This window comes from Homo sapiens, chromosome 12 (assembly GCF_000001405.40).
Source record: "Homo sapiens chromosome 12, GRCh38.p14 Primary Assembly".
In the NCBI taxonomy this organism is placed as follows: Eukaryota; Metazoa; Chordata; class Mammalia; order Primates; family Hominidae; genus Homo; species Homo sapiens.
In genome coordinates this window covers 76,505,479-76,522,825 of record NC_000012.12, presented here as the reverse complement: position 1 = coordinate 76,522,825, position 17,347 = coordinate 76,505,479, and the positions used below count along the sequence as shown (strand labels likewise).

General features: G+C 39.2%; 1 protein-coding gene across 16 annotated transcripts in view, besides 1 other annotated feature; it reads left to right on the top strand.

Annotated features, from left to right (window-relative positions):
* Positions 1–17,347, top strand: part of OSBPL8 (oxysterol binding protein like 8) — a 207,975-nt gene that overhangs the window by 36,946 nt on the left and 153,682 nt on the right. The gene's annotated exons all lie outside the window — the stretch shown is intronic.
* Positions 3,064–3,213: an enhancer, noted in NCBI's record as "active region_6677". NCBI's record gives its function as "activates an Ori minimal core promoter by ATAC-STARR-seq in GM12878 lymphoblastoid cells {active_cell/tissue: GM12878}" and the evidence as "EXISTENCE:reporter gene assay evidence [ECO:0000049][PMID:35858748]".

Below are 17,347 nucleotides of genomic sequence, written 5' to 3'. Positions count from 1 at the left end.
AACACTATTGGCTTAGGACCTTGTCTATTTATCATATGTCTTAGTTCATTTTGTGTTTCTGTAAAATAATGCTTGAGGCTGGGTGATTTATAAAGAAAAGAGGTTTGTTTAGCTCATTATTCTTCAGGCTGCACAGGAAGCATGGCATTGACATCTGCTCAGCTTCTGGTGAGAACTTTGGTGCCACATCAGAACATGACAGAGAAGGTCAAAGGGAAAGCAGGCACATGTGAAGAGATACCAAACCTAAAGGGTGTCCTGGCTTTATAGCAACCCACTTTACTGGGAACTGACTTATTCCCTTGAGAACTCATCCCATCTTGCCAGAGTGAGAACTCATTACTGAGAGAATGGCACCAAGACATTCATGAAGAATCTGCCCCCATGATCCTAACACCTCCCACCAGGACCACCTCTCAACACCACCACACTAGGGATCAAATTTCAAAATGGGATTTGGTAGGGACAGGCAAACTATATCTAAACCATAGCATCATATCACTTTTTTTTTTTTCATTTTTTGGATTTTATTGAAGAACTTTTTTTCTCTTTTAAAACTTTGAGTTCTAGAACTAGTTAATTCATGAGTTGTCCTTGTAGTCTATTTTACTTCAAAGATTAACCTATTAGAAGGAAAGACAGGTTCATTTATTCACAAATGAGATGAGAGCATTAATTTTTAAGTGACTCAGTGTGAATAATCAGCACATCATGGAAGGGGATCACAGTATTACAATTGATTTCATTCTAAATGTCACCAGACCAATTTGTTGTGTTTGAGGCAAGTTAATATGTCCTCAGTTTGATCTCTAATTGTGTATTTCCAGACAAAAAATTTACTTTTTTCCCCAATTATTTTATTATGGTAAAATAAATCATCTTAAATCATCTTAACCCTTCTTTAGTATAAAGTTCATTGGTATTGTGTACATTTATATTGTATAAACATCAGTATCATCCATTTCCAGAACTCTTCGTCTTGCAGAATTGAAACTGTATGTCCATTAAACAATAACTCTCCATTCTCTCCTCCCCCTGTCCCCTGGCGATCATCATTCCACTTTCTGTCTCTACAATTTTGGCTATTGTAGATACATCATAAAAGTGGAATCATAGAGTATTTGCCATTTTGTGACTGGCTTATTTCACTTAGCATAATGTCCTCAATGTCTATTCATGGTGTAGCATATGTCAGAATCTCCTTCCTTTTAAAGGCTGAACAATATTCCATTGTATGTATATACCACATTTTGCTTGTGCCTTCATTTGTTGATGGGTTGTTTCCACATTTTAGTTATTGTGAATAATTCTGCTGTGAACATGGGTGTACAAATGTCTCTTCAAGACTCTACTTTCATTTCTTTTGTTTACTTACCTAGAAGTGGAATTGCTGGATCATATAGTAATTCTGTTTTTTAATCTTTTGAGGAACCGTCATACTGTTTTCCGCAGTGGCTGTACCATTTTACATTCCCACCTGCAGGGCACACAAGTTCCGGTTTCTCCACGTAGCATACATCACTTTTTAATACACTTATTTTGGTAGGGAGAAACATTAGTCTTGTTATTTACGCCCCTTTATAGTCACAATATGTTTGCATAATTAGGAATTGAGTTTTGACTGTTGTGGAAACCCAAGGTATGTGTTTTGAACAGTTGAGAGTATTATTATTCACACTATGCTGAGTGGTGAGTTAGTGGGTGTAAGAAAGATTTGGACCCTGCTGTTGGATTCTTAAAATATAAGAAGTGCTTTTAGGAAGAAAATGGCTGGATAAGTAAGGTGATGGAAATAGATACTTTGCTCTTTCTGATACATTATTCTTTTGAGCACTTTCTTGTAGAGCAGAAGAATGTCAAAATTTTACCTGCTCAAATTGCTTCTCTTCCACAGTACTTTAGAGCATCATGGGAAGCAACTATTGGGTGGACCCTTGATTAGTGGTTATTTTTCATTTTTATAAAGGCCTAATTAAATAGCATATTTAAATGCAAATTGTCAATCTAAAACACACAAACTTGGATATAATAGGCCTGCTCCTATATTGACTTAATTTTTTTTTCTTTCATTCCTCCGTCTTGTCACACCTTTCTTTCCCCATCATCTCATTATCTCTGATGGAACACATTTACTATGCAATGTGTAGTGCTAGTGGAAATAAAGAATATAGGAGTGACCTTCCACCTTATGACTTACTTGTATTCTCTGCTTGGAATATGTTTCTTGCCATACTTTGTTTGGCTAACTGCCAGTTAACCTTTAGGTCTCAACTTAAACATCACTTCCTATGAGAAGCATCCTGTAACCTCATGTAAGGTCCATGAGGTCATAAATCATGTGTGTGTTGTACACTTTGATTCTCCAGAAAGTAGTGTAGTGCTTGACCCATACCAGGCTCACATTAATTTGTGTAAACTGATTTTCCTTATGGAGCCTTGGATCTAATGGGGGGAGGCAGATAGATAAACAAATATTTAGAAATACAGTGTGACCAGTTCTGTACTGGAAGTACTTTGCATGCCAAGGAAGAAAGAACTCTGCACTAGAGAAGAAATGGAGTCCATATTCTCTTGTTTCTTTCTTTCTTTTTTGTTTTTTAAAGGAACTAGCGTGATATCAATATACATTTTTAAGTTCATTCACGTAAAGGCATTTAGAATATTTGTGCAAGTTATAACAAAGCTTTTCAAAACAATTAAGTTACCATTATTTTGGGTTTTGTAGCCTTTTATTCAAAGTTGTTATAATCTCTGGTCTCTGAGATATTTTATAGGAGGGTTTGTGGGAGGTAGGTGAGAGGGGAAACTGCTGTTCTTGTTTCTGGTGGTTTTACTAAATAAGCTCCTTCTGTACTGATATGGTTTGGATGTTTGTACCCTCCAAATCTCATGTTGAAATGTGATTCCCACTGTTGGAAGTGGAGCCTGGTAGAAAGTGATTGGATCACGGGGGCAGATTCCTCATGAATGGTTTAGCGCCATCTCCTTGGTGATGAGTGAGTTCTTGCTCAGTTCATGCAGATTTGGTTGTTTAAAAGAGTCTGGGACATTCCCCCTAACCCGTTCCCTTACTCACCATGTGATATGCTGCTCCCCTTCACCTTCCCCATGATGTAACCTTCCTGAGGCCCTCACCAAAAGCGGATGTGGTCACCATTCTTCCTGTGCAGCCTGCGGGACCATGAGCCAAAATAAACATATTTTCTTTATAAATTACCCAGATTCAGGTATGTATTTATAGCACTGCAAGAACAGTATAATACAAAAAATTGGTACTGAGGAGTGGGGCGTTGCTGTAAAGATACCTGAAGATGTGGAAGTAGCTTTGGAACTGGGTAATGGGCTGTGATTGGAAGTGTTTGGTGGGCTCAGAAGAAGACAGGAAGACGGGGGAAAGTTTGGAATTTCTTAGATACTGGATAAACGGTTGTGACCAAAATACTGATAGAAATATGGACAGTGAAGGCTAGCCTGATGAGGTCTCAGATGGAAATGAGGAACTTGTTGGGGACTGGAGTAAAGGTCACCCTTTTGCACCCCAGCAAAGAAAGAGCCTGGCTGCATTGTGTCCAAATCCTAGGGTTCTGTGGAAGGTCGAACTTAAGAGTAATGACTTAAGGTATCTGGTGGAAGACATTTCTAAGCATTCAAGACATGGCTTGGCTGCTTCTGGCAGCCTGTGATCAGGTACAGGAACAAACAAATAACTTAAAGTTGGAACTTATCTTAAAGGGTAGCAGAGCATAAAAATTCGGAAAATTTAGAGTTTGTCCCTGTGATAGAGAAAGAATCCAAGCAGGCAGTGGAGCAACCACTTGCTAGAGTGATTAGCATGACTAAAAGGGAGCCAAGTGCTAATATCCAAGACAATGGGAAAAAGACCTTGAAAGCCTTTTCCAGAGATCTTAGAAGCAGCCTCTCCCATCACAGGCCCAGAGGCCTGGAAGGGAAGAATGGTTTCAGGGACCTGTCCCAGGGTGCCACTGTCCTGCTTAGCATCAGGACACTCCTCCCCACATTCTAGCTGCTCCAGCTCCAGCCTCGGCTCAAAGGGGCCCAGGTACAGCTTGGGCTGCTTCTTTGGAGGGTGCAAGCCATAAGCTTTAGTGGCTTCCATGTGGTGTTAAGAGGGCAAGTATAAAGGAGGCTTGGCAGCTTCCCCCTCGATTTTAGAGGATGTATGAGAAAGCCTGGGTGCCCAGGCTAAGCCTGCCTCAGGGGTGGAGCCCTCACAGAGAACCTCTACTAGGGCAGTGTGGAGGGGAAATGTGGGGTTGGAGTTCCCACACAGAGTCCCCTCTAGGGCACTGCCTAGTGGAACTATGGAAAGTGGGCCACCACCCTCCAGACCCCAGAATGGTAGATCTACTGTTAGCTTGTACCCTGAGCCTGGAAAAGCTGCAGGCACTCAAGTCCAACCTGTGAGAGCAGCCATGGGAGCTGTACCCTGCAAAGCCACAGTGGTAGAGCTGCCCAAGGCCTTGGGAGCCCACCCCTCACACAAGGTTGCTGGACATGAAGTCAAGGATTATGTTGGAGTTTTAAGGTTTAATGTCTGCCCTGCTGGGTTTTGGACTTGCTTGTGGCCTGTTGCCCCTTTCTTTTGGCTGATTAATACCTGAACCACCAATGTATCTTGTTTTGATCTATCAAGTTACTTGTTTTGATTTTACAGGCTCATAGGTGGAAGGAATTTGACTTGAGTCTTGGATAAGACTTCAGACTTTTCATTGAGTTGATGCCAGCATGACTTAAGACTTTGGGAGACTATTGGGAAGGGATGATTGTATTTTGCAGTGTGAGTAGAACATGAGATTAGTGGCGCCAGCAGAATGATATGGTTTAGATGTTTGTCCCCTCCACATCTCATGTTGAAATGTGATCTCCAATGTTGGCAGTAGGGCCTGGTGGGAAGTATGGGATTATGGGGGCCAATCACTCCTAGGTAATGAGAGCTCTTGCTCTGAGTTCACATGAGACCTGGTTGTTTGAAAGAGTATGGCACCTCCCCACCTCTCTCTCTTGCTCCTACTCTTGCCATGTGATGCGCCCATTCCCACTTTGCTTTCCACCATGAGTAAAAGCTCAGTGAAGCCTCATCAGAAGCTGAGCAGATGCCAGAGCCATGCTTCTGTATCACCGGTAGAACTATGAACCCAATTAACCCTTTTTTCTTTATAAATTACCCAGCCTCATTTCTTCATAGCAATGCAAAACTGGACTAGTACATAACGGAATTTTGATTTTTTTAGGCTCTTAAAGCCAAGTATTTAAAATTTATCATTGTCATCTATTTTAGCAAATTATAGCCTGTTTTTTATATATATGTACGAGATATTAGTTACCATTCTTAAAATAAACTTATTAATGAATACATTAATAAACATTTATGTTTAATATTAGTCATAGATGGTGAAACCACAGTTGATGAAACACTATTAGTTTATCTTTATAATTAAAAATTTCTTTACAGTAGGTAATAAAAAGTTTTTCAGGACCTTGTCTGAAATTTTTTGGAGTTTGAGTCCTCTAAAAGGCCTCTTACCTCCACACCCCCCACCTCTTGTTTATTTTTGCTATAGAATGATTACATTTTTTAATTGTAAAGAGAACATATTTAAACATGTGTACAATACATAAATATGGAGTTTGGTGTGTCATCACAAAGCCAACCCTTATATAAGCACCCATGAGATCAAGAAATGGAACATTGGGCCGGCGTGATGGCTCATGCCTGTAATCCCAGCACTTTGGGAGGCTGAGGCAGGCAGATCACTTGAGGTCAGGAGTTCGAGACCAGGCTGGCTAACATGGTGAAACCCCATCGCTACTAAAAATACAAAAATTAGCTGGGCACTGTGACATAACGCTGTAATCCCAGCTACTCAGGAGGCGAGACAGGAGAATCACTTGAACCCAGGAGGTGGAGGTTGTGGTGAGCCGATACTGCGCCACTGCACTCCAGCCTGAACAACAGAGCTAGTCTCCATCTCAAAAAAAAAAAAAAAGAAAAGAAAAGAAAAGGAAAGAAATGGGACATTGACATTGATGGCATAATGTTGAGAGGATTTGTTATGTTTCCTTCATCAACCATATTATTGGTTATTTCTGCTGTCTGTTTTTACCTTTTTTAAATCTCACTTGGTATTCATTAATTGTATTCTTTTCAAAGAACTAACTTTTGGCTTTTTCTCTTTTGTGTTTTAGTGTTCTTTGACATTTATTACTGCTCTTTGTGTCCTTTCTTTTACTTTTTTGGGGTTTAATTTGCTGCTTTAGGGAGGCAAAGTTTTCCTCCACCCTTCTAGGGTCATACGCTTTTCTCTGGTTAGTCTGTCTTATGCCAGAAAAACAAAGACACAAAAAAGCAGTTAGAGCTGAATACTTATAATACGAGGAAGCACAAAGAGCATCAGATTGTGAAAATGTGACAAGAATATGGAGTTTTGACTAGAACAGTTAATTGTGGAGAAGAGGCTAGGAAGGTAAGGTTAGTTTATTAAGGTTTATGTGTGCAGATTTCTCTTGGTCTTGATTTTTCATCCCTGGTGTTAAAAATGTCTTTCTTTCCTCTGGCACAAGGAGGGCACTTTTCACATGGGAGTTTCATCTCCTGCTTTCAGGAAGAAAAAGGAAGGTCAGAGTACCTTTAGCTCAAAATAATCAATATTCCATAGCAGTGTATTTTGGGGTGGCAATCCTGAACTTCTCCACTGCTTTTTCAGATTTTTTGAAATGGATGATTAGCCGTTTGATTTTCCTGTCTTTTATAGCTATGCATTTTCTTTGCATACCTCAGTTCTTATAGTATTTCATTATCATTTCGCTAATATTTTGATGTTTTTAATTGCCACTGTGATTACTTCTTCAATCCATAGGTTATTTAGAAGTATATTTCTTAATTGTAGAACACATTGTGGGAGTGGGGGGGTCACCAAGATGGCTGACTAGAAGCAGCTAATATGTGTGGCTCTCACAGGGAGGAATGGAAGGGGTGAGTTAATAGCTGAATCATCCAAGTACATGCATCAAGACTAATCAAGGAAACAACTCTACCCATGGAGAATGGAGAAAAGCAAGACAGGATGAAGGCCCACCCAGAAGCGACACAGAGGCAGGGGAACCTCCCCTGCTCAGGGAATTTGTTGAGGAAGGAACATAAACACTGAGATTACCCCAGAACTGCAGTGGGCAGCCCAGGAGTGCAAAGCTGCAATCTACAACCAGCACTCAAGGGGAAGAGGAATCTATACCTATACTTTCAGAGTGTTGAGAGGGAACGTGGCTGCAATTGTGAGGAAATTGCGGAGCCACCCATCCGAGCAAGATTCTACCAACTGACCAGTACACCTGAGTGCCACCTGCTGGATCGCAGTCCACAACTTCAACACCAAAAATACCTCTCTAACATACCCCTCTGAAACCAAAGATAAGAAATCAGCTTCCATGAAATAAAGATCCTGCACAAAGCCTTGGCCCTGTGAAAATGTCTGAAAGAGAAGTCTATTGACTACTTAATCTACACTACAGTTAAAGGAACACCCATATGCAGAGATGAGAAAGAACCAATACAAGAACTCCAGTAACTCAAGAACTCCAGTAAATGGCCAGAGTGTCCTGCGAGTGACTGTACCACTTCTGCAACAAGAATTCTTACCAAGGCTGAACTGGCTGAAATGACAGAAGTAGAATTCAGAACGTGGATAGGAATGAATATCATTGAGATTCAGGAGTACAGAAAAATCCAATCCAAGGAAACTAAGAATCACAATAAAACAATACAGGAATTGAAGGACAAAATTGCTGGTATAAAAAAGAACCTAATTAATCTGACAGAGCTGAATAACACAGTATAAGAATTTCACAGTGCAATCACAAGTATTAACAACAGAATAAACCAGGCTGAGGAAAGAATCTCAGATCTTGAAGACTGGCTGTCTGAAATAAGATAGACAAACATAAAAAAGAGTTAAAAGGAATGAACAAAAGCTTCGAGAAGTATGGGATTATGTAAAGAGGCTAAATCTATGAATCATTGGTGTCTTTGAAAGGGAGGGAGGGAAAGCATACGACTTACAGAACATATTTCAGGATATTGTCCATGAAAACTTCCCCAGCTTTGCTAGAGAGGCCAACAGTCAAATTCAGGAAATGCAGAGAACTCCTGAAAGACTCTATACAAGAAGATCATCCCCAAGACACATAATCATCAGATTTTCCAAGATTGAAATGAAAGAAAAAATGTTAAAGGTAGGTCATCTGCAAAGGCAACCCCATCAGGCTAACAGCAGATCTCTCAGCTGAAACCCTACAAGCCAGAAGAGATTGAGGAGGGCCTACAACATACTTAAAGAAAAAATTGTTCAACAAAGAATTTCATTTCTAGCCGGCTCATGCTTGTAATCCCAGCACTTTGGGAGGCTGAAGCGGGTAGATCACAAGGTCAGGAGTTCAAGACCAGCCTGGCCAATATGGTGAAACCTGTCTCTACTAAAAATACAAAAAAAAAAAAAATTAGCTGGGCGTGGTGGCAGGCAGCTGTAGCCCCAGCTACTTGGGAGGCTAAGGCAGGAGAATCGCTTGAACCCGGGAGGCGGAGGTTGCAGTGAGCTGAGATCGCGCCACTGCAGCCCGGCCTGGGTGAAACAGTGAGACTCTATCTCAAAAAAAAGATCCTTTTCAGACAAGCAAATGTTGAGGGTATTTGTTAACCACCAGGCCTGCCTTACAAGAGATCTTGAAAGGAGCACTAAATATAGAAAGGAAAGACCACTACCAGCTAATACAAAAACACACTTAAACACACAGACTAGTGACACTATAAGACAACCACACAAACAAGCCAACATAATAACCAGCCAACAACACAATGACAGGATCAAATCCACACATATTAATACTAACCTTCAGTGCCCCACTTAAAAGGCACAGAGCAACAAACTGGATAAAAAAGCAAGACCCAGTGCTATGCTGTCTTCAAAAGACTCACCTCACATGTAATGACACTCATAGGCTCAAAATAAAGGGATGGAGGAGAATCTACCAAACAAACAGAAAACCGGAAAAAAAAAAAAAAAAAAACCCAGGGGTTAGAATCCTAATTTCAGACAAAACAGACTTCAAACCAACAAAGATTAAAAAAAAAAAGAAGGGCATTACTAGTAAAGGGTTCAATCGAGCAAGACCTAACTATCCTAAATTTATATGCACCCAACACAGGAGCACCCAGATTTATCAAGCAAGTTCTTAGAAATCTACAAAAAGATGTAAACTCCCGCACGATAATAGTGGGAGACTTCAACACTCCACTGACAGTATTAGACAAGTCATCAAGGCAGAAAGTTAAAGATATTCAGGACCTGAACTCAACATTAGATCAAATGGATCTGACAGGCCTCTATGGAACTTTCCACCTTAAAACAACTGAATATACATTCTTCTTATCTCCACATGGAACATACTCCGAAAGCAATCACATAATTGGATATAAAACAATCCTTAGCAAATGCAAACGAACCAAAATCATACCAAACACGCTCTTGGACCACAGTGCAATACAAATAGAAGTCAAGACTAAGAAAATCCTCAAAATTCTGAAAGCAATCACATAATTGGATATAAAACAATCCTCAGCAAATGCAAACGAACCAAAATCATACCAAACATGCTCTTGGACCACAGTGCAATATAAATAGAAGTCAAGACTAAGAAAATCCTCAAAACCATGCAATTACATGAAAATTAAACAGCATGCTGCTGAATGACTTTTGGGTAAGTTCAGCAAAGTTTAAGGATGCAAAACCAATATACAAATATCAGTGGCATTCCTATACACCAAAAACAGCCAAGCCAAGAGCCACATCAGTGTCATTCACAATTGCCACAAAAAGAAAAAAGATACCTAGGAATATAGCTAACTGGGGAGGTGAAAGATCTGTATAATGAGAATTATAAAACACTGCTCAAAGAAATCAGAAAAGATGCAGACAAATGGAAAAACCTCCCATGCTCATGGATAGGAAGAATCAATATCATTGAAATGGCCATACTGCCCAAAGCAATTTACAGATTCATTGCTGTTGCTATCAAACTACTATCAGTATTCTTCACAGAACTAGAAAAAAACTATTTTAAAATTCATGTGGAACCAAAAAAGAGCCCAGCAGCCAAAGCTATCCTAAGCAAAAAGAACAAAGCTGGAGGCATCACGTTACCTGACTTCAAACTACGCTACAGGGTTACAGTAACAAAAACAGTATGGAACCTGTAGAAAAACAGACACATAGACAAATGGAACAGAATAGAGAGCCCAGAAATAAGGCTGCATACCTACAACCATCTGGTCTTTGACAAAGCTGACAAAAACAAGCAATGGGAAAAAGACTTTATATTCAATAAATTGTGCTGGGCTGTTCACAGTAACAAAGATATGGAATCAACCTAAATGCCCATCAGTGACAGACTGAAAAAAGAAAATGTACATATACACCATGGAATATTATACAGCCATAAAAAAGAACTAGATCATGTCTTTTGTGAGAACATGGGTGGAGCTGGAGGCTCTCTTCTTTAGCAAACTAACTCAGGAACAGAAAAACAGATACTGCATGTTCTCTCTTATAAGTGGGAGTTAAAGGATAAGAACTTGTGAACATAAAGAAGGAAACAACAGACACTGGGGTCTACTTGAGCGGGGAGGGTTATATGAGGTAGAGGAGCAGAAAAGATAACTATTGGGTACTGAGCTTAATACCTGGGTGATGTAATAATATGTTCAACGAACCCCCATGACATGTGTTTATCTATGTAACAAACCTTCACATGTACCAGCAAACCCAAAATAAAAATAAATTTAACAAGTTAAATGATGCTGGGATAACTGGCTAGCCATATGCAGAAGATTGGAGCTGGACCCCTTACACCATATATAAAAATGAACTCAAGGTGAATTAAAGACTTAAATGTAAAACCGAAAACTATAAACCCTGGCAGACGACCTAGGTAATACCATCCAGGACATAGGAACGGGCAAAGATTTTATGACAAAGACATCAGAAGCAATCGCAGCAAAAGCAAAAATTGACAAGTGGGATCTAATTAAGCTTAAGAGCTTCTGCACAGCAAAAGAAACTGTCAGCAGAGTAAACAGACAACCTGTAGAATGGGAGAAAATATTTGCTAACTATGTACCTCACAGAGGTCTAATATCCAGCATCTATAAGGAACTTAAATAAATTTACAAGAGAAAAACAACCCTATTAAAAAGTGAGCAAAAGACATGAACAGACACTTTTCGAAAGAAGACATACCTGTGGCCCACAAGCATATGAAAAAAAGCTCAGTATCACTGATCATTAGAGAAATGCAAATCAAAATCATCTCACACCAGTCAGAATGGCTGTTATTAAAAAGTCAAAAAATAACAGGTGCTGAGGTTGCAGAGAAAAGGGAACACTTATACACTGTTGGTGGGAATGTAAATTAGCTCAGCCATGTGGAAAGCAGTATGGTGAGTCCTCAGAGAGCTAAAAGCAGAACTACTATTTGACCCAGCAGTCCCGTTACTGGGTATATACCCAGAGGAATATAAATCACTGTACCATAAAGACACATGCATGTGAAAGTTCTTTGCAGTGCTGTTCATAATGGCGAAGACACGGAATCAACCTAAATGCCTAATCTGCCTAAATGTTTTGACTCTCACTCTACCACCCTCAGAAGTCTGGATTTAATATCCCTATGTACTGGTTTAGGTAACATCATGTACATACCTTTGTTTAAGGGACATTACATTGTATATTATACTAATCAGTTTACTTCATTTTCTCTTGGCTATACACTAAGTTCCTGGATGACAGCAATGATGTTTGTTTTCTGTATGTCCGGAATCTAGAACAGTGCTTCTTATATGGCAAGAGGTAAATATATTTTTTTTTTTTTTTTTGAGATGGGGTTTCACTCTTGTTGCCCAGGCTGGAGTGCAGTGGCATGATCTCGGCTCACCACAACCTCCAGCTCCCGGGGTCAAGCGATTCTCCTGCCTCAGCCTCACGAGTAGCTGGGATTACAGGCATGCGCCACTACACCTGGCTAATTTTTGTATTTTTTAGTAGAGATGGGGTTTCTCCATGTTGGTCAGGCTGGTCCCGAACTCCCAACCTCAGGTGATCTGCCTGCCTCGGCCTCCCAAAGTGCTGGGATTACAGGCGTGAGCCACTGCACCCAGTCATAAATAATATTTGATGAATGTGTTTTGAGCCCTGCAAAAGACATATAACCGACAGTGAAGCAGTAATAGGTATTAAGGTCTATAAACTGTAAATTTTATGAATGGTTGGTTCAGAGATAATGGGAAATGAAATTTCTTTTGTACCTTGAGAATTTTGATAGTAATGATTTCTTGTTTTTTATTGAACTTATGTTAGTATTCTGGTTTCCTCGGGGCAAAATGCTGATGATATAGTTTTGCCTGGACTCTACATAAGTAGTAGGTATTTATAAAACAATAGATCAAGAAAACCTTTAGTACATTTTTCTTTGTGCATTTTATTAGTAACTTGTCACTGGGTTGGATGATTGGTATATACATATATATCTGTCTAAAACAATACCTCTGTTTTAAGTTTTTCATAAGATTTGCTAGATCTGGAGATATGAAAAGTATTTGGACACCCTTCTAGTTCAGAATTTAAGTGATTTATTGGGCTTTAATGTGCTGTTAGGCAGTCATTAAATAAATGGAAACTAAATTATGATGAATTTGAAATAGACACCTGTAAGCACAGTAGTATGTATTTAATGTCTATGAGAAAAGTGGCTTTTTACGAAGTTTTTTGGGAAGAGGCAGTGTTTTTGGGAATATCTACCTACCTTTGTGCTCCAAAGTAGTCAAGATCAAGGGAGTTGTCTAGATTTTTTGCTCTCCTTTTCCCTTATATTTTTAGGTAACTTACTGTGCTTTTTCCCCTTCTCTCTGATAGTTGATATTATTAGTTCAGTTTGTTTCTTCTGCTCCCCTGTTGCATGTCTTCCTCATCCATCTTCCTAAAGTTGTACACAGTGGGATAGCTTGCACGGCACACCTCTAATCCACTTCCTTCTTGTCCATCAGTGTCCAACTTTTTGTTTGCCTTCCAGTCTTCCATTATTATCATCATCATTTTTCTGCTTTTCTTACTATTATAGTGGTAGTATTAGAATGGAAGAAATATTAACATAATTCATAGGTGCCAAAATATTAGTATACTCTAGGAAGCATATGTACTATACCATTTTGAAATAATTTTGACGAAAGCCATTTGGAATAGACTGCTTTAATCAAGCAATTCACTTAGATTTTTTTCTTTCAAAGTACGTATGAATAGGATGTTGGTACTAGCTTGATATTTGGAAATTGTCACATGTATATAATCTCTCATTATATTAGATTTTCTTTCAGGATTTAATCTACTGTAGATACAGTGATGGGTCACTTAACAACAGGCATACATTTTGAGAAATGTATCGTTAGGCAATTTTGTCATGTGAGTATCAGAGAGTGTACTTATTAATACACAAACCTAGGTGGTGTAGCCTACTACACACCTAGGCTATATGCTATAGCCCATTGGTCCTAGGCTACAAATCTGTACAACATGTTTTACTATACAGAATGTTGTAGGTAATTGTAATACAATGGTATTTCTGTGTCTAAACATGACTAAGCATAGAAAAGGTACTGCTTTGCACTATTGACCTTGTTTTTGGAAAGGGGTCCTGATCCAGACCCCAAGAGAGGGTTCTTGGATCTCACACAAGAAAGAATTTGAGGTGAATTCATAGAGTAAAGTGAAAGCAAGTTTATTAAGAAAGTAAAGGAATAAAGAATGTCTACTCCATAGGCAGAGCAGCAGCATGGGCTGCTCATCTACTTATACTTATTGTTACTTCTTGATTATATGCTAAATAGGGGGTGGATTATTAATGAGTTTTCTGGGAAAGGGGTGGGTAATTCCCAGAACTGAGAGTTCCTCCCTTTTTGGACCATATAGGGTAACTTGCTGATGTTGCCGTGGCATTTGTAAACTGTCAGGCGCTGGTGAGAGTATCTTTAGTATGCTAATACATTATACTATAATTAGCATATAATAAACAGTGAGGATGACCAGAGGTTATTTTCATTGCCATCTCGGTTTTGATGGGATTTGGCCAGCTTCTTTTATCACAACCTGTTTTATCTGCAAGGTCTTTATCACCTGTATCTTGTGCAGACCTCCTATCTCATTCTGTGACTTAGAACGCCTCACCTCCTGGGAATGCAGCCCAGTAGGCCTCAGCCTTATTTTACCCAGTCCCTATTCAAGATGGAGTCCCTCTGGTTCAAACGCAACTGACAATGTCACCATGGCTGTGATGTCACTAGGCAATGGGAAATTTTCAGCTTCATAGTAAATCTTAATGAGACCACTGCCATACATGCAGTCTGTTCTTGACTGTAACATCCTTATATGGTATGGCTGATGACTACTATAGTGTAGATTAGTTCAGACTAGCTAAACCAGTTTGTTCTTATTTACAATCTGACTTCTTTTTTTAGTCAAAATTGCAGAGTGAAATTAAGGTAAGTGATGTGAATATAGTGTTGTCTTCCAGTAATATTCTTCTTTTTTTTTTTTTGAGATGGAGTCTTGCTCTGTTGCCCAGGCTGGAGTGCGATGGCGCAATCTCGGCTCACTGCAACCTCCGCCTCCCAGGTTCAAGCGATTCCCCTGCCTCAGCCTTGCGAGTAGCTGGGATAACAGGCACCTGCCACCATGCCCAGCTAATTTTTGTATTTTTAGTAGAGACAGGGTTTCACCATGTTGGTCAGGCTGATCTCAAACTCCTGATCTCAGGTGATCTGCCTGCCTCAGCCTCCCAAAGTGCTGGGATTTCAGGCATGAGCCACCGCGCCCAGCCATCTTCCAGTAATATTCTTCTTTAAAAGTGTAATGTATTCATGGCTCAGCATTTTTGCCTTTTTTGAGATTGAGTCTTGCTCTGTTGCCCAGGCTGAAGAGCAATGGCATGATCTTGGCTCACTGCAACCTCTGCCTCCTGGGTTCAAGTGATTTCTCCTGCCTCAGCCTCCTGAGTAGCTGGGATTACAGGCATGCACCACCACGCCCAGCCAAGTTTTTTTGTATTTTTGGAAGAGATGGGGTTTCACCATGTTGGCCAGGCTGGTCTCAAACTCCTGACCTCAGGTGATCCACCTGCCTAGGCCTCCCAAACTGCTGGGATTACAGGTGTGAGCCACCACACCCGGCACATTTTTGCTTCTGAGAATCCTTTTTTTGTTACATATGAGTGTAATAAAACAGAAAAGCTCCTGGGACATCCTGGGAGATAGGAAGTCACATATTTATCATATAAAACTTGTTGCCATAAGAGAAAGCCACTATTCATTACTGAATAATTGAATGTTCAATATTCAATCATTATTTTAAGGTTATTATGATTAGATATGTATTAAAGCCATTAACCTTGCCTAGTAGGTGCTCCTTCCTTTTCCCTGTGACTGAAATAACTATTTGTAAATCCCAAATAGAGAATAAGTTTTATAAAAATTACTTTCTCTAGGAACTTTGTTAGGGTAAGTATAGACAATGAGCTACCAGTTCCCCAGCTTCTGGAGTACTGATAACAAAAGGAACAATAGAGAGAACATTGTCTTCTTTATACTTTGAATTCAACTAGTAATTATATTTAAATTAGGATGCAGGCCTGGCTTTAGTTTGGCAGTTTTGAGAAATGAGTCAATATGGTTGTCAAATGCCATACTCTTTTACAAAAAAGTTACTTAACTTTTAAAAAATTAACAGAAGCAATATACACTGTTTAAAATACTTAAAACAGCAGAGAAGACTACCTTTCTTCTCTCGAAGCCTGTTCCTTACAGCCTACTGCCATTAAGTTTGCTTTTAATTACTGTTTTAGCTTTTAAAAAATGCTTCCCTATTCTCAGATTTATTATCATTTAAATGTTTTTGACTTTGACCTCTAAAGGATGAAGAGATTGGTGTACTTATACTTTAAGCCCCCAGCCACTTTCCCCTTCCAGGATTTTTTGTTATTAGCAGTGTTTCTTAACTGTTATCAAAGGTGTGGAATTTAGGGCATTTATCATTAATTTTACCTTTTGTCATCTTGCTTCCTTTTTTAGTTAGTGATTTTATAATTTTTATTTTGTGTATGTCTTGTTTTTCATATAGAGTAAATCTCTTTTTACATAGATATATAGAGTAATTCTGAAAGTTGAAAACAAAAAATCAGGATTCATTAATTCATTCATTTTATAAATATTGATTCTTTAATACTGGAGCACCTCAGCGCTCTGATCTTGGGTTCTTTTCTGTCTACAGAGATTTCCAAAATTATCTCATTCAATGTTATGGTTTTAAATTCCATCCGTATGCTAACTCCTAGTTTACATTTTTTGGCCTGACCTCTTCCCCGTCAGCCTCACATCTGCATGTTCAGCTGCCTCCTTGATATCTGTATTCAGATGTCTTAACTGGTATCCCAAAGTGAACAAGTCCAAAAGGAGCTCCTGATATCCATCCCTTTCTTCCCCAAGTCTTCCCACAATATATTGCATACCTGCTAATGGCCCCTTCATTTTCTCAATTGCTTTGGGCACAAACTCTGCTTAAGTTCCTGCCTCTCTTTTTTAAAAAATTTACACCTTATATCTGATTCATCAATAAATTCTTTTGGCTGCATATTCAAAGTATAGAAAGAATTTGGCATTATTCATCACATCTCCTACTACGGTTCCTGTGCAAGCCATCATTGTCTGTTGCCTGCATTATAGTGATAGCATTCTACTTTGTAATCTCTTCTCAATTAGTAGCCCAAATGATCCTACTTAAGTAAAAACTTATCATTTCTCAGCTTTCCTTTCAGCAGTAGCTTCCCATCTCATTCAGAGTAAAAAAATTAAAGTCCTTCTGTTCTTTGAGGTCTCCGTGATTTGCAGCTTAGTTACATTTCTGTTCTCTTTGCTCACTACTGTTCCCTATTCCACTTGCCACAGTAGTCTCTTTGCTATTCTTTAGATGTGCCACATGCTCCTGCTTCAGAGTCTCTGTGCTTGCTTATTCCTTTTCTGCTTGGAAGGGTCTTCTAGTCATTTGAATTGCTCACCCCCTCATGTTACTGAGGTCTTGACTCAGAGTCATTTCAATGAAGCCTAAAGGCCTTTCCAGGCAATCCTATCTAAAATTTTACCTTTTTTTGTGACATATCAGACAACTCCTTCCTTCCTATTTTTTATTCTAGTATCTATTATAATACACAATATATTTTAATTGTTTAATTTTAAAAA